The 21,326-nt window shown below is 40.6% G+C and overlaps 1 protein-coding gene across 2 annotated transcripts in view, besides 2 other annotated features; it reads left to right on the top strand.

The window, feature by feature from the left end:
* Window positions 12,532-13,159: an enhancer, noted in NCBI's record as "H3K27ac hESC enhancer chr12:95397104-95397731 (GRCh37/hg19 assembly coordinates)". NCBI's record gives its function as "activates a minimal SCP1, AML or CMV promoter by ChIP-STARR-seq in primed H9 embryonic stem cells {active_cell/tissue: H9 hESC(primed)}" and the evidence as "EXISTENCE:reporter gene assay evidence [ECO:0000049][PMID:30033119]".
* Window positions 12,668-13,067: an enhancer, noted in NCBI's record as "active region_6804". NCBI's record gives its function as "activates an Ori minimal core promoter by ATAC-STARR-seq in GM12878 lymphoblastoid cells {active_cell/tissue: GM12878}" and the evidence as "EXISTENCE:reporter gene assay evidence [ECO:0000049][PMID:35858748]".
* NDUFA12 (NADH:ubiquinone oxidoreductase subunit A12) overlaps window positions 12,790-21,326 on the top strand; it is a 32,365-nt gene continuing 23,828 nt past the window's right edge. For both annotated transcript variants that reach the window (NM_001258338.2, NM_018838.5), the window contains exons 1-2: window positions 12,790-12,892; window positions 13,666-13,748. In NM_001258338.2, the coding sequence (NP_001245267.1) occupies window positions 12,807-12,892; window positions 13,666-13,748 (169 nt within the window). In that variant the 5' untranslated portion in view covers window positions 12,790-12,806. The remainder of the gene's footprint in view (window positions 12,893-13,665; window positions 13,749-21,326) is intronic.

Below are 21,326 nucleotides of genomic sequence, written 5' to 3'. Positions count from 1 at the left end.
TTTGCATTAAATAGAAAGTTGAACATGCATGAAGTTATCCTAGAGAAACTCACACATGTACCAGGGGGCATACAAAAATATTCATGTCAGCATTGTAAGAGCAAAAAAGGAAAACTGTTCAAATATCCATTGACAGGAGAATGGAGAAGTTAATTGTGGTATAATCACCCAATGGAATACTATGCAACACTAAAAAAGGAATAAACTATAAACATGGGTGAATCCCCAAAATACAATGTTGTATGAAAAAAGCCCAAAAGTATACAAAACCATAATTTAACTGGTTTACTGAAAACAGGCAGATACATTGTTGAGAGGTATTTATGTGGGAAAGCTAATTTTGTGAAAGCAAAGGAAATAATACTAAATTAGAATACTAGTTACTTCTGAAGGGGTGGGAAGAGGATAAAAACAGAATACAAGGGGCTTGAAAAGTATTGACAGAGTTCTAACTATTTGCTTTTAAACAAGCCATCCCAAAACGTAACGGTTTAAAACAACATGTACTGTGTTCATGAATATGCAACATGGACAGAGCTTGGGAGAGACAGCTTGTCTCTGCTCCTTTCAGCCACAGCTAGGTGAGCTCAAATAGTGAGGTTGGAATGTATGTAATCATTCACTCATATGTCTGGAAGTTGATAGTGACTGTTTGCTGGGACTTCAGGTGGAGCTGAAGCCAGAACACATACCTAGTCCTGTTTCCCTTCCTCACAACCTAGAGGCTAGGTTCCAAGAACAAGGGTTGAGAAGGCCACGTGGGAGCTCTGTTACCATTTCTTGCCTGGCATTAGAATTCATCCAGTGTTAGGCAGGGGATACAGGCTCACACCTGTAATTCCAGCACTTTGGCCAAGGCGGGCAGATTGCCTGAGTTCAAGAGTTCAAGATCAGACTGGACAACATGGCAAAACCCCATCTCTACATAAAAAAAAAAAAAAAAAAAAAAAGCCAGGCCTGCTGGCATGTGCCTGCAGTCCCAGCTACTCGGGAGGCTGAGGTGGTAGAATCGCTTGAGCCTGGGAAGCGGAGGTTGCAGTAAGCCAAGATTGCACCACTGCACGCCAGCTTGGGTGACAGAGCAAGACTCCATCTCAAAAAAAAAAAAATGAAAAAAACACTAATTCAGTGTCTTCTGCTGCATTCTACTCATCGAAGAAGTCACAAAGGTCTGTGCTGATGGAAAAGGAGGGGAAATAGACTCCACCTCCTGATGATGAAGTGGCAAGCTTCTGGAAGAGCATATGGAACCAGAAATACTAGAAATGTTTCCCTCATTTGGGGGAAAAAATATTCCATCTCAGCAGCCTCACTTGGAAACCCAGGTAGACAAGGCTTACCTGGACAAGATTGGGGCCTGGGAGGTTGGGGGTGGTTTTCATCTTATGGAATTGTTTACAAATTGATACATAAGAAATCATAAGAAGTTTAAAGGATTGTAACATCTTAAGCTGGGCATGGTGGTGCATGGCTGCCCTAGCTAGTCTGGAGGCTGAGATGGAAAGATGGCTTGAGCCCAGGAGCTGGTGGATGCAGTGAGCTATGATGATGCCACTGCAGTCCAGCCTGGGTGACAGAGTGAGACCCTGTCTCTAAAATTTGAAAAAAAAAAAAAAAATGGCAGGAGGGTATCATCTTGGACCTTCAAACTTGTATGGGCAGGAGATGGCTAAGAAAACTACTCAGCTACAGACTGGACTCCATTTTGTGGGAAATGAAGGGTAATTTCCATGTGGCTGCTGGAGGAAGTGTTGAGAGAGGAAGTGCCAGGGAAAAGCCAGATGGTTTTTTCTAACCTACCCTCAGAAACCAAGCAACATTGCTTTCCATGTCATTTTATTTATTGATGCAAAGACCCACCCACATTCAAGGGAAGATAAACTATGCCCTTTGACAGGAAAGTGGGAAGATTCTGGAAGAGTTTAGGGAATCAAAGCTGTTTTTTCAGCCATGTTTTTTGAAAACTTGAATCTCTGATACTATTCTACTTATTAAGCTGACTGTAGATTCTTAAGATCAAATAGGCACTTTTGTATATTTCCCAATATTTGATAGAAAAATAAATCCTTATGTGGAAAAAATGAGGTGCTGTTAGATCTCCAGATCTCCTCCACAATTCCCTGTATCCAAGGGAGGGGAGTAAGCCCTTGAGAAGTTGTAAACACTAAATTGTCCTTACATGGATATGTAACAGAAAATTTAGTAAACCGTATATGAAAAATGGAGCAGGAAGTTGGAGGGGGAGCTAGGTGTGAGGAGGGGAGTGTGTGAAAGCCCTAAAAGTCCTCACCTATGTTGAGAAGTCAACAAGTAATGCCTAAAGTTGGAAAAACTCTAGAAATACTATAAGCATGTAATTTAGAAATATGGTAGGGAATAACTAAGCTAAAAGGGTTGGAAGTAGTTGTTGCTAGGAGTGGGAAATCAGTTCAGAAAATGGAACTATATGATTTCTTCAGTGAGGTACGTATGTTCAATGTACCAAATTTAAGAGGGAAAATGATCAAAATGGATGAGCTAAATTGAAGCTAAGATCATTGAAGAAAGAATTAAGGCTTCTGGCAATGTTTGTTCACATGAACATGTCGGTATTATCCAACTGAATTCTGTGTGTCTCTTTAACTTTAGTTGTTCTATAATAATGTTGATACCAAGTTAATGACAAAAAAAATCAGAACAGGATACTATGAAAAAGAAGAGAGACTGGCCAGGCACAATGGCTCACACCTGTAATCCTAACACTTTGGGAGGCTGAGGCAGGCGGATCACGAGGTCAGGAGTTCAAGACCAGCCTGACCAACATGGTGAAACCCTGTCTCTATTAAAAATACAAAAACTAGCTGAGTGTGGTGGCGCACGCCTGTAGTCCTAGCTACTTGGGAGGCTGAGGCAGGAGAATCGCTTGAACCTGGGAGGTGGAGTTGCAGCGAGCCGAGATCACGCCACTGCACTCCAGCCTGGGCAACAGAGTGAGACTCTGTCTCAAAAAAAAAAAAGGAAGAGAGATTAAAGAAAGAGTTCTTTCTTTCTTTCTTTTTTAAGCATTCTTTAAACTAAAAATCATGTTGAAAAAATCTATCAGGACTGATGGACTGGACCTAGACAAGGAACAAATTAGTGAACTGGTACATAAATGCAAAGAAATGGTTCAGAATGTAAAGCACAAAGATGAAAATGGAAAATATGCAGAAAAAACAAAATATTCAGGTAACGTTAAAAAGATAATAGGGGATCAATCCAGAAGGGTCAATGTTCACCTAATACCCAGATTTCGGAAAGAAGTAACAGAAAATGTAGGGGAAAAATTATTTAAAACAATTTCTACTGCTAAAAATGTCACATCTCCAAATTCAAAGATGATGCTGAATTCCAACAAACATCAACTACAAAAGCCCTAGATAAATCTTCATGAAATTTCAGAACTTTAAAGACAAATAGAAAAATCTGAAAAACTTCAAAAGATTGAAAAACAGGTTTTTAACAAATGAATTTGTATCAGATTGGCAGCAGGATTCTCATCAACTATGTTAGAGGTTTTGGGGTTTTGTTTGAGACAGGGTCTCACTCTGACACCCAGGCTGGAGTGCAGTGGCCACGATCATAGCTCACTGCAGCCTCTAACTCCTGGGCTGTAGCAATCCTCCTGCCTCAGCCTCCCAAGTGGCTGGGACTATGGGCATGCACCACCACACCCAGCTAAATGTTAGATATTAGAGGGCAATGGAGGAATGCTTTCAGAGTTCTGTGAGGAAACTATTTTGAACCTAGGGTTTTATGACCAAGTAAAGGATCAATCGAGGGAAATGTTATCTCCTACATGCATTTTTGAAAAAAGTCTCAAAAATGTGCTCTACCAAAACAAACAAAAAAAACAAGCAACCCTAAATGAGAGAATTCTAAGAAAGAAAAATATGCAGGATCCAAGATAAAATAAGACTCATTTATTCAGAAACACAATGAAAAGAAATCCCAGAATGATCATCCATTCATGAATGAGGCCTAAAGACAACTGATCAAAATTAGAACAGGAAGTCAGAATGTTCTGTGAAAAATCTGCTCAAGAAGACATATGTCTCTATTGTTATTTAGAAGTAATTTATCAAACTAACCTTTATTGAGTACTTATGATACACCAGGCACTGTGTTTTTTATGTACCTTATTTAATGCCTACAGTGATCTCATGAGATGGGTAATATTATTAACCCCATTTTACAAATGAGTAAACTAAGGTGTAAGCAACTTGCTCAATATAGCTAATTAGTGATTGATAGGGTTTGGCTGTGTCCCCACCCAAATCTCATCTTGAATTGTAATCCTATAATCCCCACATGTTGTGGAAAGGATGCTTTAATTATGGGAGCAATTACCCTCATGTTGTTCTCATGATAGTGGGTGAGTTATCATGAGATCTGATGGTTTTATAAGGGGCTTTTCTCCCTTTCCCTCTGCACTTCTCGTTTCTGCCACCATGAGAAGAGGGATGTTTTTGCTTCCCCTTCTACCCTGATTGTAAGTTTCCTGAGGCCTCCCCAGCCATGCTGAACTGTGAGTCAATTAAACCTCTTGCTTTTATAAATTACCCAGTATCAGGTATGCCTTTATTAGCAGTGTGAGAGGGTACTAATACAGTGATAGAGTTGAGATTTAAGCAACCATAAGCCCTGGAGTAGAGCTCCCCAGAAGAAAGGCTGATTGCAGGTCCGGGTAGGAAATATGTAAGATGAGCTGGGAACATCTTGTCACACCAAAAATAAAATAATGATAATAAAACTATCAAAGATGACTAGATTGTGTCTCAGAAACTCAGGAACCAACCTGAAGAGGTCTCTACTAACCAAAGATAAAACAATTTGGTAATTGATTAGAATAATAACTGCAATGGGTTGAAACATATCAAACATTTAAATCTATAAGTACATATTGTACTTTAAAAATGCTAGAGACACCAGGTGCAGTGGCATGTGCCTATAATCCCAGCTACTTGGGAGGCTAGGATGGGAGGATCACTTGAGCCCAGGAGCATGTGACCAGCCTGGGCAACATATTAAAACCCCGCCTCAGTTTGAAAAAAAAAAAAAAAAAAAAAAACCTAGGGACAACATAACCATAAAGAAAATACCTATAAAAGATACACAAAAGAAAATGAAAAAGGAATGGCAAATTGCTACCAAAAAACCAATGAAACACAGGGAAGGTGGCAAGAGAGGAGAGAGAGACACAACAGCAAAAAATACAGAAAACAATTAACAAAATGCCAGTAGTAAATCCTTCCCTATCAGTAATTACTTTAAATGTACAAGAATTAAACTCCCCAGTCAAAAGACAGGGTAGCTAAATGGACCAAAAAAAAAAAAAAAAAAAAAACCCACCAGAATCTTAACTATATGCTCTCTATAAGAGATTTACATAGGGTAAATGTAAGGACACACATAGGTTGAAAGTGAAAAGACAGAAAAAGGATTTTTAATGCAAATGGTAACAAAAAAAGAGGAGTGGCCGTACTTATATCAAACAAAATAGACTTTTAGGTGAAAAACTGTCACAAGAGACAAAGGGATTACAAAATGATAAAAGGGTTAATCCACTAGGAAGATATAACAATTCAATATGCACCTAACATCAGAACACTCAAATATAGGAAGCAAACACTGACAGAATTGAGGAGAAATAGAAATAGTAACACAACAAAAGTAGTTTTCAAAACCCCACCTTCAATAATGGATATAACACCCAGACAGAATATCGAAAAGGAAACAGAGGACTTGAACAATGCTCTAGAGCAATTGGACCTAACAGACATACAGAGAACATTCCACCTAACAATGACAATACACATTCTTGTCAAGCATACATGCAACATTGTCTGTGATAGATTACATATTAGGTCACAAAACAAGGTTTAACAAATTTTAAGAAGATTGATATCATACCAAGTATCTTTTCTGACTACAGTGGAATAAAGCTAGAAATCAAAAGCAAAGGGCTGGGCACAGCGGCTCATGCCTGTAATGTAATCCCAGCACTTTGGGAGGCCGAGGTGGGCTGATCACAAGGTCAGCAGTTCGAGACCAGCCTGGCCAACACAGTAAAACCCCATCCCTACTAAAAATATAAAAATTAGCCAGGTGTGGTGGTGTGTGCTTGTAGTTCCAGCTACTTGGGAGGCCGAGGCAGGAGAATCGCTTGAACCAGGGAGGCGGAGGTTGCAGTGAGCCGAGATCATGCCACTGCACTCCAGCCTGGGCAACAGAGCGAGACACCGTCTCAAAAAAAAAAAAAAAAGAAAAGAAAAAGAAGTAAAAAACAAAACGAAAACTGGAAAATCCACAAATGTGGAAATGAAACAACACATTTTTTTTTAATACCAACCAACCAAGCAGCAGTGATAAACAAAACAGTCTTGAGTAACCAATGCCTCAAAGAAGAAATTAAAAGGAAAATACTTTGACAAATAGAAAACACAGGGCAGGCATGGTGGTTCACACCTGTAATCCAAGCACTTTGGGAGGCCAAGGTGGGAGGATTGCTTGAGGCCAGGAGTTTGAGGCTTCAGTGAGCTATGACTGAATGACTGCACTCCAGCCTGGGCAACAGAGTGAGATCCCATCTATAAAAATAAAGAAAAAGAGACCAGGCACGGTGGCTCACACTTGTAATCCCAGCACTTCGGGAGGCCGAGGAGGGTGGATCACAAGGTCAAGAGATCGAGACAATCCTGGCCAACATGGTGAAAACCCGTCTCTACTAAAAATATAAAAATTAGCTGGGCATGGTGGCACATGACTGTAGCCCCAGCTACTCGGGAGGCTGAGGCAGGAGAATCACTTGAACCCAGGAGGCGGAGATTGCAGTGAGCCGAGATCACACCACTGCACTCCAGCCTGGCAACAGAGTGAGACTGTCTCAAAACAAACAAACAAAAATTTTAAATAAAGAAAAAGAAGAAAACATCTGAACAGATTCATAACTAGTAAGGAGATTAAATCAGTAATCAGAAAACTCCCAACAAAGAAAAGCCAAGGAACAGATACTTCACAGGAGAATTCTAGCAAACATTTGAATTAATTGAAAAGTTAATACCAATCCTTCTCAAATTATTCCAAAAAATTAAAGAGAAGGTAACACTTGGCTGGGCACAGTGGCTCATATCTGTAATCCCAGCACTTTGGGAGGCTGAGGTGGGAAGATCACTTAAGCCCAGGAGTTTGAGACCAGCCTGGACAACATAGTGAGACCCCATCTCATTAGAAAAGAAAAAAAAAAGAAGAAAGAGAGAAGGTAACACTTTTTTTTTTTTTTGAGATGGAGTTTCACTCTTGTTGCCCAGGCTGGAGTGTAATAGTGCAATCAGCTCACTGCAACCTCCACCTCCCATGTACAAGCGATTCTCCTGCCTCAGCCTCCTGAGTAGCTGGGGTTACAGGAGCACACCACCACACCTGGCTAAATTTTTGTATTTTTAGTAGAGATAGGGTTTCACCATGTTGGCCAGGCTGGTCTCGAACTCTAGACTTCAGGTGATCTACCCGCCTTGGCCTCCCAAAATGCTGCGTGGGATTACAGGCATGAGCCACTGCACCTGGCCAAGGTAACTCTTTTAAACTCTTTTTTTTTTTTGAGACAGAGTTTCCCCTCTGTCACCCAGGCCACAGTGTGATGGTGGAATCTCAGCTCACTGCAACCTCTGCCTCCCAGGCTCAAGCAGTTCTCATGTCTCAGCCTCCTGAGTAGCTGGGATTATAGGCATGCACCACCAGGCCCAGCTAATTTTTGTATTTTTAGTATAGACACAGTTTCGTCACATTGGCCAGGCTGGTTTTAAACTCCTGGACTCAAGTGATCTGCCCGCCTCAGCCTCCTAAAGTGTTAGAATTAGAGGTGTGAGCCACCACGCCCAGCCTAAACTCATTTTATGAGGCCAGCAATACCCTGATACCAAAACCACAACAGATACTACAAGAAAACTATAGATATCCTTGATGGATATTCATGTAAAAATCCTGAACAAAAATACTCACAAACTGAATTCAACAGCACATTAAAAGGATTATACAGCCGGGTATGGTAGCTCACTCCTGTAATCCCAGCACTTTGGGAGGCTGAGACGGGTGGATCACCTGAGGTCAGGAGTTCAAGACCAGCCTGGCCAACATGGCAAAACCCTGTCTCTACTAAAAATACAAAAATTAGCCAATCATAGTGGCAAGCGCCTGTAATCCCAGCTACCTGGGAGGCTGAGGCAGGAGAATCGCTTGAATCCAGGAGGCGGAGGTTGCAATAAGCTGAGATCGCACCACTACACTCCAGCCTGGGCAACAGAGTGAGACTCTGTCTCAAAAAAAAAAAAAAAAATGGATTATACACCATGGCCAAGTGGGACTTGACTTATTCCTGGAATGCAAGGATGGTTCAACATACAAATATCAATCAGTGTAATGGACTACAAATGGTTTGCAACTGATCATGACCTGACTTACAATTTTTTTGTTTTATGATGGGTTTATTGGTGTTTACAATGCATTTTTTTTGTGGTGTTTTGTTTTGTTTTGTTTTTGAGACAGGGTCTTACTCTGTCACCCAGGCTGGAATGCAGTGGCATGACCTTGGCTCACTGAAACCTTTGCTCCCCAGGTTCAAGCAATTCTCCAGCCTCAGCTTCACAGGTGCATGCTACCATGCCCAGCCATTTTTTTTTTTTTAATTTTTTGTAGAGATGGGGTTTCACTATGTTGCCCAGGCTGGTCTTGAACTTCTAAGCTCAAAGCGATCTGCCTGACTCAGCCTCCCAAAGTGCTGGGATTACAGGTGTGAGCCACCCCACACCTGGCCTCGGTACATTTTTTATTTAGATATTTTTTATTTACAATGGGCATGTCAGAATGTAATGCCATTTTAAGTTGAGAGGCACATTAACAGAATGAAGAACAGAAACCATATTATCATCTCAATTGATATAGAAAAAGCACTTGGCAAAAACACTCAACAAACTACGAATGAAAGGAAATTATCTCAACCTAATAAAGGCCATGTTTGAAAAGCCCACAGCTAACATCATATTCAATAGTGAAAAACTGAAAGCTTTTCTTCTAAGATCAGGAACAAGGCAAGTACGTACATTCTTGCTACTTCTATTCAACATATTACTAAAAGCCCTTGCCAGAGCACTTAGGCAAAAAATAAATAAATAAAAGCTGAAAATTGGAAAAGAAGGGCCAGGCACGGTGGCTCATCCTGTAATCCCAACACTTTGGGAGGCTGAGACGGGAAGATTGCTTGCTTGAGGCCAGAATTTCAAGATTAGTCTGGGCAACACAGCAAGACCCTATCTCTACAAAAAACTTTTTAAAAATTAGCCAGGCATGATGTTGCATGCTTGTAGTCCCAGCTGTGCATGAGGCTAAGGCAGGGGGATCACTTGAGCCCCAGCTTTGGTGATAAGGGTGAAACCTTGCCTTAAAAAAAAAAAAGGAAAAGAAGTAAAATTATCTTCATTAACAAATGATGTGGTATTATATGTGGAAAACCCTAAGGATTCCACCAAAAAATGGTTAGAACTAATAAATAAATTCAACAAAGTTGCAAGGTACAAAATCAACACACAAAAATCAGTTGCCTTCTAAACACTAACAATGAACAACTCAAAAAGGAAATTAAGAAAACAATCACATTTAAAATAGCATCAAAAAGAATAAAATATTTAGGAATAACTTAATCAAGTAGGCAAAAGACTTATATACTGAAAACTACAAAACAGTGCTGAAAGAAATTAGATGCAAATAAATGGAAAGACATTCGTGTTTGTGGATTGGAAGACTTAATATTGTTAAAATCCCATACTACCCAAAGTAAGCTACAGATTCATTGCAATACCTATCAAAATCCCAGGGCCATTTTTCTTTGCAGATTTTTAAAAAGTCCTAAAATTCATACGGAATCTCAAAAGACCCTGAATAGACAAAATAATCTTCAGAAAAATAAAGCCGGAGGCCTTCCACTTCCTGACTTCAAACATTGTACAAAGATGCAGTAATCAAAACAGAGTGGTACTGGCATAAGAACAGACATATAGACCAACGGAGTAGAATAGAGAACCCACTTCCTGACTTCAAAACATTGTGCAAAGATGCAGTAATCAAAACAGAGTGGTATTGGCATAAGAACAGACATATAGACCAACGGAACAGAATAGAGAACCTAGAGTTAAACTCTCAAGTATCTGGTCAAGTGATCTTTGACAAGGGTACCAAAGCTACATAGTGGGGAGAGAATAGTGTTGGGAAAACCGGATATCCGCAAGCAAAAGAATGACGTTCAACCTTTACCCTACACCATATACCAAAATTAACTCAAAATGGACTAAAGACCTAAATGTAAGACCTGAAACTATAAAACTCCTAGAAGACAACGGGGGAAGCTTCATGACATTGGATTTAGCAGTGATTTCTCAGATATGATACCAAAAGCACAGACAAAGTAAAAATAGACAATTGGGGCTACATCAAACATAAACTTCTGCATAGCAAAGGACACAATCAACGGAATGAAAAGATGACCTAGGGAACGGGAGAAAATATCCACGATACATAAAGAATGCCTACAACTCAACAACAACAACAAAAAACCCGATTCAAAAATGGGCAAAGGACTTGAATAAACATTTCTCCAAAGAAGATATACAAATGGCCAACAAGCATATGAAAACATGGTTAACATCAGTAATCAGGTAAATGCAAATCAAAACCACAATGAGGTATCACCTCATCATCCATTAGGATGCCCACTGTAAAAAACAAATGAACACAGGTTGGGCGTGGTGGTTCACGCCTGTAATCCCAGCACTTTGGGAGGCCAAGGCGGGTGGATCACCTGAGGTCAGGAGTTCAAGACCAGCTTGGCCAACATGGTGAAACCTCGTCTCTACTAAAAATACAAAAATTAGCCGGGGGTGGTGGTGGGCGCCTGTAATCCCAGCTACTCGGGAAGCTGAGGCAGGAGAATCGCTTGAACTTGGGAAGGGGAGGTTGCAGTGAGCCGAGATCGCACCGCTGCACGCCAGCCTGGGCAACAGAGTTAGACTCCGTCTCAGAACAAACAAACAAACATACAAACAAACACAGAAAATATGTAGTGTTGGTGAGGAGGTGGAGAAATTGGAACCTTTGTGCATTGTTGTTAGTAATGTAAAATGGTGATGCTGCCATGGAAAACAGTATGGGGATTCCTATAAAAATAAAAAATAAAATTTCCATATGATCTAGCAATCCACTTCTGGGTATATATCCAAAAGAACTGAAAACAGGATCTTAGAGATATCTGCACACCCGTGTTCACTGCAGCATTATTCACAATAGCCAAGAGGCGGAATCAGCAGAAATGTTTATGGACAGGTAACTGGGTGGCATATACATACAGTGGAATATTATTCAACATTTATAAAAAGAAGAAAATCCTGTCATATACTACACTATGGATGAGCCTTGTGGATATCATGCTAAGTGAAATAAGCCAGGTCCTAAAAGACAAACACCTCATGATTCTACTTATATGAAGTATCTAAAGTAGTTAAACTCTTAGAAACAGAAGTAGAATGGTGGTTGGCAGGGGATGGAGAAAGAGGAAAAAGTTGTTCCATGGATATAAAGTTTCTGTTTTGCAAGAAGAATAAGTTCTAGAGATCTGTTGCGCAACAATGTGCATGTGGTTAACACTACTGTACACTTAAAAATGGTTAAAATGGTAAATTTTATATTTTGTGTTTTTAACCACCACTACCAAAAAAAAAAAAAAAAAGCTAGGGAACTAAATTGTTATTTTGAAAACACACATAAGGGAAAGAATCGGCTGGGTGTGGTGGCTTACACCTGTAATCCCAGCATTTTGAGAGGCTGAGGCAGGAGGATCACTTGAGGCCAGAGTTCAAAACCAACCTGGGCAACATAACAAGATGCCCATCTCTAAAAAAAAAAAAATTAGCCAGGGGTGGTGGCACTTACTTAAATGGGAGGACTGCTTGAGCACAGGAGTTTGAGGCTGCAGTGAGCTATGATCACACCACTGTATTTCAGCCTGGGTGACAGAGAGCCTGTCTCTAAAATTAAAAAACAAAAAAAAAGTAAGAGAATCAAGCACCCATACTGCCTTTCCTACATTAATTGTATCTCAGGAGCCAAATAGTTGAAGGGAGGTTTCTCTTTGTAGAAGAATTGTGGTTAACAAATGAAGTAATATTGAAATTTTTTAGGCTCAAGCGATGCTCCCATCTAAGCCTCAGCCTACCGAGTAGCTGGGACTACGGGCACGCGCCACCACATCCAGCTAATTTTTAATTTTTTTTTTTTTTTTGTAGAGACAGAATTCTCGCTGTGTTGGCGAGGCTGGTCTCGAACTCCTGGGCTCAAACGATCCTCCCTACCCGGCCTCCCAAAGTGCTGGGATTACAACAGTGAGCCACCGCGCCCACCAGAGCCAATTATTTTTAGATGAGGAAACTGAAATTCCCAAAGGGGGAATCCCCGTGTGAGAAAGCCTCGTGTAGGTGAGCTTTCCAGCATATGCCCGCCTTCTAGATTTAACCTCTGAAAACTAAATTTTAAGGTACCTTTGCTTCCAGGGGAAACCAATTCTGCCTACTTGGGAAGCCAGAACATGACCGCGTAGGCAAGACCTAGCTCTGCGCACGCGCAGAGCCACCACGTCTGGCGTTCGCGTGAGAACCTTCTGGGCGTGGGCTTCCTGCGGCTGAGTGGCAGCTTCCATCCGGTGGGTTTTGCTCGGCGCACCCGGGAGGCGGGGCCAGCGAGGCAAGATGGAGTTAGTGCAGGTCCTGAAACGCGGGCTGCAGCAGATCACCGGCCACGGCGGTCTCCGAGGCTATCTACGGGTTTTTTTCAGGTAGGCGGCCAGAGCCATGCTCTTGGCCTCTGGGGCTGGACTTTCGCTGGCTGATTTCTTGGAAGGGGTCCCAGGCTCGGGTCACCTTGGAGAATCCACAGCTCTTGTCAAGGACAACCGCCCCAATCTCTGCCTTGCCACCCCCAGGCTGGTCTCTGTCCCATATATCCCCGATACAAGACCGAAGCTATCTGTAGAGTCAGAGCTGTGACTCGGAGGCAAGGGCATCTGGGCTCCCCTCTTTTCCCACGCCCTGGAGAGTAATGAGGATTACAAGACATTAACTCAGTGACCCTGGTAAAGTTTTTTTCCCTGCACTGCCGTACAGTTCCTTGTCTGTAAGGCGTTGAAGGTAATAATGATGGTCCCTTCTCTTCCTGACATTCACTGATCCCACGAGCAGCATAGTTTCGCAGAAACCTAAATGGAGACCCAGAGTGGAATGAAAGAGCCTGGAGACCTTCGTATCATTGTAAGAAGATGAAATACTTTGGCTTTTTGATTTCCTAAAGGTTTTGCTAATTCCAGTGCCTCCTGGCTGAGGGATAGTAGATACAAGTAGTCCTGTAATCTGAAGAGACTACATTTATATTTTTAGTGTAATTTGAGCACATCAGTTGTCAATTCATCTTTTCCCATCCCCAGCACTTCTTCATTTTGCTAGTTGATGCAGCAGCCCTTGTGTCTGAAAGTTGTTACTCTCACTTTATTTCCGTTTATGTTTTGAACTAAGAATCATTCTAAAATGTCTGTTTTCTTTTGGGTATTCACAGGACAAATGATGCGAAGGTTGGTACATTAGTGGGGGAAGACAAATATGGAAACAAATACTATGAAGACAACAAGCAATTTTTTGGTGAGTGCAGTATTTTTTAGTATGAATAATTGGATTGGGATTGGGATTTGATTTGAGTCTATTTTCCATATTATGCAATGAGCTTTTACAAAACACCTGGAAAAGGATGAAAAACTCAATAGAAAATGAAAAAAGATAATTTACAGAAAAAAGAAAAGTAAACAGCCAATGAAGGTATGGAAAAATGCTCATTCTCACTTGTAACAACAGAAATGCAACTTTAAAAACAGTGTTATATATTTTTCACCTATCAAATTTTGAAGTGTTTTTGTTCTTTTTTTTTTTTTTTTTTTTTTTTTTTGAGATGGAGTCTCTGTCGGCCAGGCTGGAGTGCAGTAGCGCGATCTCGGCTCACTGCAACCTCCACCTCCTGGGTTCCAGCGATTCTCCTGCCTCAGCCTGCCTGAGTAGTTGGGACCACAGGCGGGCGCCACCATGGCCGGCTAATTTTTGTATTTTTTAGTAGAGATGGGGTTTCACCATATTGGCCAGGCTGGTCTTGAACTCCTGACCTCGTGATCCACCCGCCTTGGCCCCCCAAAGTGCTGGGATTACAGGCGTGAGCCACTGCGTCCAGCCTTGAGTATTTTTCAAGCTGATAAATCCCAATGTGGGCAAAACCATATAAATATGTAGGTTAATGCAGTCTTTTTGGAGGGATAATTTGGTAACATTTGTAAAAATTTACATTGCACATATCCTTTGTCTCAGCACTTCCACTTTTAACAATTAATTCGGCTGGGCGCGGTGGCTCACGCCTGTAATCCCAGCACTTTGGGAGGCGGAGGCGGGCGGATCACGAGGTCAGGAGATCGAGAGCATCCTGCCCAACGTGGTGAAACCCAGTCGCTACTAAAAATACAAAAATTAGCTGGATGTGGTGGCGTGTGCCTGTAATCCCAGCTACCTGAGAGGCTGAAGCAGGAGAATCGCTTGAACCAGGGAGTCGGAAGTTGCAGTGAGCCCAGATCCCGCCACTCTACTCCAGTCTGGCAACAGAGCGAGACTCTTATCTCAAAAAAGAATTAATTCTACAAATATTCTTGCAAACCAACATACATCACAGCATTGTTTTATTATATTTTAAAAATTTATTTATTTATTTAATGTTGAGACAGGGTCTCGCTCTGTCACCCAGTCTAGAGTGCAGTGACTCGATCATGGCTCACTACAGCCTCAACTTTCTGGGCTCAAGCTGTCCTCCTACCTCAGCCACCCAAGTAGCTGGGATTACAGGCATGTGTCACCATGCCTGGCTAATTGTTTAAAAAAATTTTTTTTTGGAGAGACGAGGTCTTGCTATGTTTCTTAGGCTGGTCTTGAATTCCTGGGCTCAGGTGATCCTCCCACCTCAGCCTCCCAAAGTGCTGGAATTACAGATGTGAGTCACTGTGCCTGGCCACAGCATTTTTGTTTGTTTTTGTTGTTGTTATTTTGAGACAGGGTCTCACTGTCGCCTAGGCTGGAGGCAGTGGTGTGATCTTGACTCCCTGCAGCCGTGACCTCCTGGGTTCTAGCCTTCCTCCTGCCTCAGCCTCCTATGTAGCTGGGACCACAGTCATGCACCACCACACCTGGTTAATTTTTTAATTTTTTTAAAGAGATGGGGTCTCACTTTGTTCCCCAGGCTGGTCTTGAACTCCTGGGCTTAAGCCATCCTCTTGTCTCAGCCTCCCAAAGTGCTGGGATCACGGGCATGAGCCACCGTGCTAGTAAATTTTAAAAGCAACATTAGTGTGCGTAAGTTGGATACTGATGAATTAAACATTTTTTAGAATAGTTTGTTGTTGTTTTTTTATTTTAAGTTCTAGGGTACATGTGCACAACGTGCAGGTTTGTTACATATGTATACGTGTTTTGGAATACGTTGTTGTTAAGAATGATATAAACCTATAAATTTAATATAGAGAGATGTCAAAGATGTGTGTAATATAAAAAAATTCCAGTAGCAGAACAATGTTTGGTATCCTTAAAAGGAGAAAATACATGCTTTTTGTGTGCATGTTAAATTTTGGAAGGAAACTCAATAAACTCATAGAATCAGATGATAGAGATTCAACATTCTGCCCCTCCACTTTATAACTTTGTGACCTGGTTAACTTAATTAACTTCCCTAACCCTCAGTTTTCTCATCTGTAAAGTAGAATAATAATAATATGTGCCTCCTAAAGCTGTATTAAAAGATGAAAAGTGAATGGGAGGAACTTACTGTGATTAGGGTTTCTCAGCCTCAGCAGTGTTAACACTATGGGGCAGATAATTCTATTCATTTTTTGTTTTTTTATTTCAATAGTTTTTGGAGTACAGGTGGTTTTTGGTTACATGGATAAGTTTTTTAGTGGTGAGTTCTGAGATTTTGGTATATCTGTCACCCGAGCAGTGTTACACTGTATCCAGTATGTAGTCTTTTATCCCCTTGAGTCCCCAAAGTCCTTTATATCATTCTTATACCTTGGCATCCTCATAGCTTAGTTCCCACTTGTAAGTGAGAACATACGATATTTGGTTTATCATTCCTGAGTTACTTCACTTAGAATAATGGCCTCCAGCTCCATCCAAGTTGCTGCAAAGGCCATTATTGCTTTCTGTTTTACGGCTGAGTAGTATTCCATGGTGTATATATACCACATTTTCTTTATCCACTCGTTCACTGATGGGCATTTAGGTTGGTTCCTTATTTTTGCAATTACAAATTGTGCTGCTATAAACATGTGTATGCATGTGTCTTTTTCATGTAATGACTTCTTTTTCTTTGGGTACATACCCAGTAGTGGGATTGCTGGATCGAATGGTAGTTCTGCCTTCAGTTCTTTAAGGAATCTCCTTACTGTTTTCCATAGTTGTTGTACTAGTTCACATTCCCAACAGCAGTGTAAAAGTGTTGTGTTTTCACCACATCCACACTACCATCTATTATTTTTTGAATTTTTAATTATGGCCATTCTTGCAGGAGTAAGGTGCTATCTCATTGTGGTTTTAATTTGCATTTTCCTGATAATCAGTGATGTTGAGCATTTTTTTCATAGGTTTGTTGACTGTTTGTATATCTTCTTTTGAGAATTGTCTGTTCATGTCCTTTGCCCACGTTTTGATGGGATTGTTTTTTTCTTACTGATTTGTGTGAGTTCCTTGTAGTTTCTGGATATTAGTCCTTTGTCTAATGCATAGTTTGCAAATATTTTCTCCCACTTTGTGGGTTGTCTGTTTACTCTGCTGATTATTTCTTTTGCTGAACAGAAGCTTTTTAGTTTAATTAGGTACCATTTATTTATTTTTGTTTTTGTTACATTTGGGTTCTTAGTTATGACTTCTTGCCTAAGCCAATGTCTGGAAGAGATTTTCTGATGTGATGTTCTAGAATTTTTATGTTTTCAGGTCTTAGATTTAACTCTTTGATCCATCTTGAGTTGATTTTTGTATAAGGCAAGAGATGAAGATCCACTTCCATTCTTCTACATGTGGCTTGCTAGTTTTTCCAACACCATTTGTTGAATAGGGTGTCCTTTCCCCACTTTATGTTTTTGTTTGCTTTGTTGAAGATCAGTTGGCTGTGAGTATTTGGCTTTATTTCTGGGCTCTCTGTTCTGTTCCATTGGTCTACCTAGCTACTTTTATACCGGTAGCATAGTGTTTTGGTAACTGTAGCCTCGTAGTATAATTTGAAGTTGGGTAATGTGAAGTCTCTAGATTTGTTCTTTTTGCTTAGTATTGCTTTGGCTGTGTGGGCTCATTTTTGGTTCCATATGAATTTTAGAATTGTTTTTTCTAGTTCTGTGAAGAATGATGATGGTATTTTGATGGAAATTACATTGAATCTGTAGATTGCTTTGGGCCATATAGTCGTTTTCACAATATTGATTATGTGCATCCATGAGCATGGGATATGTTTCCATTTGTTTGTGTCATCTATGATTTCTTTCAGCAGTGTTTTTTAGTTTTCCTTGTAGAGATCTTTCACTTCCATGGTTAAGTATATTCCTAAGTATTTTATTTTATTTTTTGCAGCTGGTGTAAAAGGGATGGAGTTCTTGATTTGATTCTCAGCATGGTCATTGTTGGTGTATAGCTGTGCTACTGATTTGTATACATTGATTTAGTATCCTGAAACTTTGCTGGATTTATTTATCAGGTCTAGGAGCTTTTTGGATGGTCTTTAAGTTTTTCTAGATATATAATCCTATCATCAACAAACAGCGACAGTTTGACTTCCTCTTTTTAAATTTGGATGCACTTTATTTCTTTCCTTTATCCAATTGCTCTGGCTACGACTTCCAGTACTGTGTTGAATAGAAGTGGTGAATGTGGGCATCCTTGTCTCGTTCCAGTTCTCAGGGAGAATGCTTTCAGCCTTTCCCCATTCGGTATGATGTTTGCTGTGGGTTTGTCATATATGGCTTTTTTTACTTTGAGGTATGTTCCTTCTGTGCCAATTTTGTTGAGGGTTTTTATCATACAGGAATGTTGGATTTTATCGAATGCTTTTTCTGCATCTGGTGAGATGATCATATGATTTTTATTTTTAATTCTATTTATGTGATATATCACATTGACTTGGGTATGTTAAACCATCCCTGCATCCCTAGTATTCAACCCACTTGATCATGATATATTATTATCTTTTTGATATGCTGTTGGATTTGGTTAGCTAATATTTTGTTGAGGATTTTTGCATCTGTGTTCATCAGGGATATTGGTTTGTAGTTTTCTTTTTTTGAGACAGCTAATTCTTTGTTGTGAGGGGCTGTCCTGTGCATCATAGAATGACCAGCAGCAGCAGCACTGACTGACAAACCAAAAATGTCTCCAGACATTGCCAAATGTCCCCTTGGGGGCAAAATTTCCATCTGTTAAGAACCATTGGCCTAATGCTTGGCACATAATAAGTGCTCAATAAATATTAGCACTGTGACTGCTGTTATTATTTTTACAGTTTGAGTATCCCTTACCCAAAATGCTTGGGACCACAAGTATTTCAGATTTTAGGTTTTTTTGGATTTTGGAATATTTGCATTATACGTCCCAGTTTAGCATCTCTAATCTGAAATCTGAAATGCTCTAATGAGCATTTCTTTTGAGTGTCATAACAGCACACAAAAAAAGTTTCCAATTTTGGAGCTTTTGGAATTGGAGATACCCAACCTGTACCTTCTTGAATTGTTGAATTTTCTCCCATGTGCATTTGTTACTTTTATAATAATAAAAAAATACTCTCTTGATTGAGATGAAAAGTATCAAAGAGGAAAAAGCAATTAGTCTTCATCCAGGGGAACAATGTATAACGTGAAAAAATAATTGCCTGGCATTTATTGAGTGATTACCATGTGCTAGGTGCTGTGCTAAACAAAAACATACGTTATCTACCTTAATCTTCAACATCTCCTTGAGATAAGCACTTCTGTGCTCCTCCGCCCCCATTTCACAGATGAAGAAGGTAAGTCATTGAATAGTTAGGAATATTTCTCAGGAATGTGGTTGCTTTGGATGCATGTTGGTCTATAAGAAGTAAACATCTTATGTACTCTATGTGTGTGCGTGTGTGTGCGTGTGTGTGTGTATGTGTGAGTGTGATGAGGTCTCACTATTTTACCTGGGCTGGTCTTGAACTCCTGAGCTCAAGCAATCCTCCCGCCTTAGCCTCCTGAGGAGCTGGAATTACAGGCACATACTGTCACACCTAGTTATGATATTTTTAATACATAAATCACAGAATTTTAGACCTAGAATAGATTTTAAGAGATTGTCTAAAAACTATTGTTTTATAGATGAAGAAACTGAGGCCCAAGGAAGTATCTTTACCAAAGAGACTTAATCATGTAATTAATGGCAGAACCTGGGGTAATTATTCTTTCTACTTCTCACTGTATTGTTACAAACTATAATATTACATTCTTTCCTTTCTTTAATTTTTTTTTTTTTTTTGAGACAGAGTTTTGCTCTTGTTGCCCAGGCTGGAGTGCCATGGCACGATCTTGGCTCGCTGCAACCTCCACCTCCCAGGTTCAAGTGATTCTCCTGCCTCAGCCTCCTGAGTAGCTGGGATTACAGGCATGCGCCATCATGCCCAGCTAATTTTTTGTATTTTTAGTAGAGATGGGGTTTCTCTATGTTGGTCAGGCTGGTCTTGAACTCCTGACCTCGTGATCCACCCGCCTCAGCCTCCCAAAGTGCTGGGATTACAGGTGTGAGCCACTGCAGCCAGCCTCCTTTCTTCTGTTCTCCCTTGCATTGGAAATATTCTTATTTTTGCTAATTAAAAAAAAATTAGGGCCTGGCATGGTGGCTCATGCCTGTAATCCCAATGCTTTGGGAGGCTAAGGTGGGAGGATCAGTTGAGGCCAGCAGTTCAAGACCAGCCTGGGCAACATAGAGACCCCCATCTCGTGTGTGTGTGTGTGTGTGTGTGTGTGTGTGTGTACCTATATATGTATGTATTTATATATATTTGGTGTATGAAAGCTCCCTCCCCTTATAATTTTGCAACTCTTTCAATAGTTTAGTCTTTATGTATATTTAAAATTCTTTTCTTTTATTTCGAGACAGGGTCTCTCTGTTGCCCCACCTGAAATGCAGTGGTGTGATCTCGGCTCACTGCAACCTCTGCCTCCCGTGCTCAAGTGATCCTCTCACCTCAGCCTTGAGAGTAGCTGGGACTACAGGCATGTGCCACCATGCCCAGCTAATTTTTGTATTTTTTGTAGGGACAAGGTTTCACTATGTTGCCCAGGATGGTCTCGAACTCCTGAGCTCAAGTGATCCCCCTGCCTCAGCCTTCCAGAGTCCTGGGATTAAGAAGTGAGCCACCGTGCCCAGCCAGTTGTGTTTATTAAAAAAAAAAAATGCACAGCATTTTTAAAAATAGCAACACAACATTCCAGTGTATGGAAGAACCATTATTTCTTCAATCCTGTTACTATCGATAGACACATAGATTGCTTTTGACTTTTTGCTATTAGGAATGATGCTACTGTAAACCTGCTTGTAACTACATTCATGTGTTTAAATAAATTTCTGGCCTGATCTCTACTAAAAATACAAAAATTAGCCAGGCATGGTGGCACATGCCTATGGTCCCAGCTACTCGGGAGGCTGAGGCAGGAGAATCGCTTGAACCCAGGAAGGGGAGGTTGCAGGCAGTGAGCCGAGGCCGCGCCATTGCACTCCAGCCTAGGCGACAGAGCGAGACTCCGTCTCCAATAAATAAATAAATAAATAAATAAAGTTGAATTTCTGAGTCTGAGAATAGGCATTTAACATTTCAAGAAATACAGAGAGAGAGACAGACAGAGAGAGAGAGAGATTGTTAGGGCCCACTTCCATCATTATAGCCTAACTGTATTGTCAGGGCTTGACTTATGAAACCTTTCCCAAGGTCTCCTCCATCTGCCTGCACATTCCCCTGCCTCACTGGATTATAGTTTACTTTTAGTTAGCTATTCTTAAGATTTATTTCTCTAAATGAAGCAGTAAATGTTGATTGAAATCTGTATTTTTAAAAAGAGATGAGGTCATGTTTAAGTACCGTTAGTCAATTTTTGTTGATTATATGTTTACCTGGGAAAACCCTGTAAATGAAATGCA

This window comes from Homo sapiens, chromosome 12, assembly GCF_000001405.40.
Source record: "Homo sapiens chromosome 12, GRCh38.p14 Primary Assembly".
NCBI classification, from domain to species: domain Eukaryota; kingdom Metazoa; phylum Chordata; class Mammalia; order Primates; family Hominidae; genus Homo; species Homo sapiens.
Note: the sequence above shows the minus strand (reverse complement) of the source record. Positions and strands in the feature narration are given on the sequence as shown.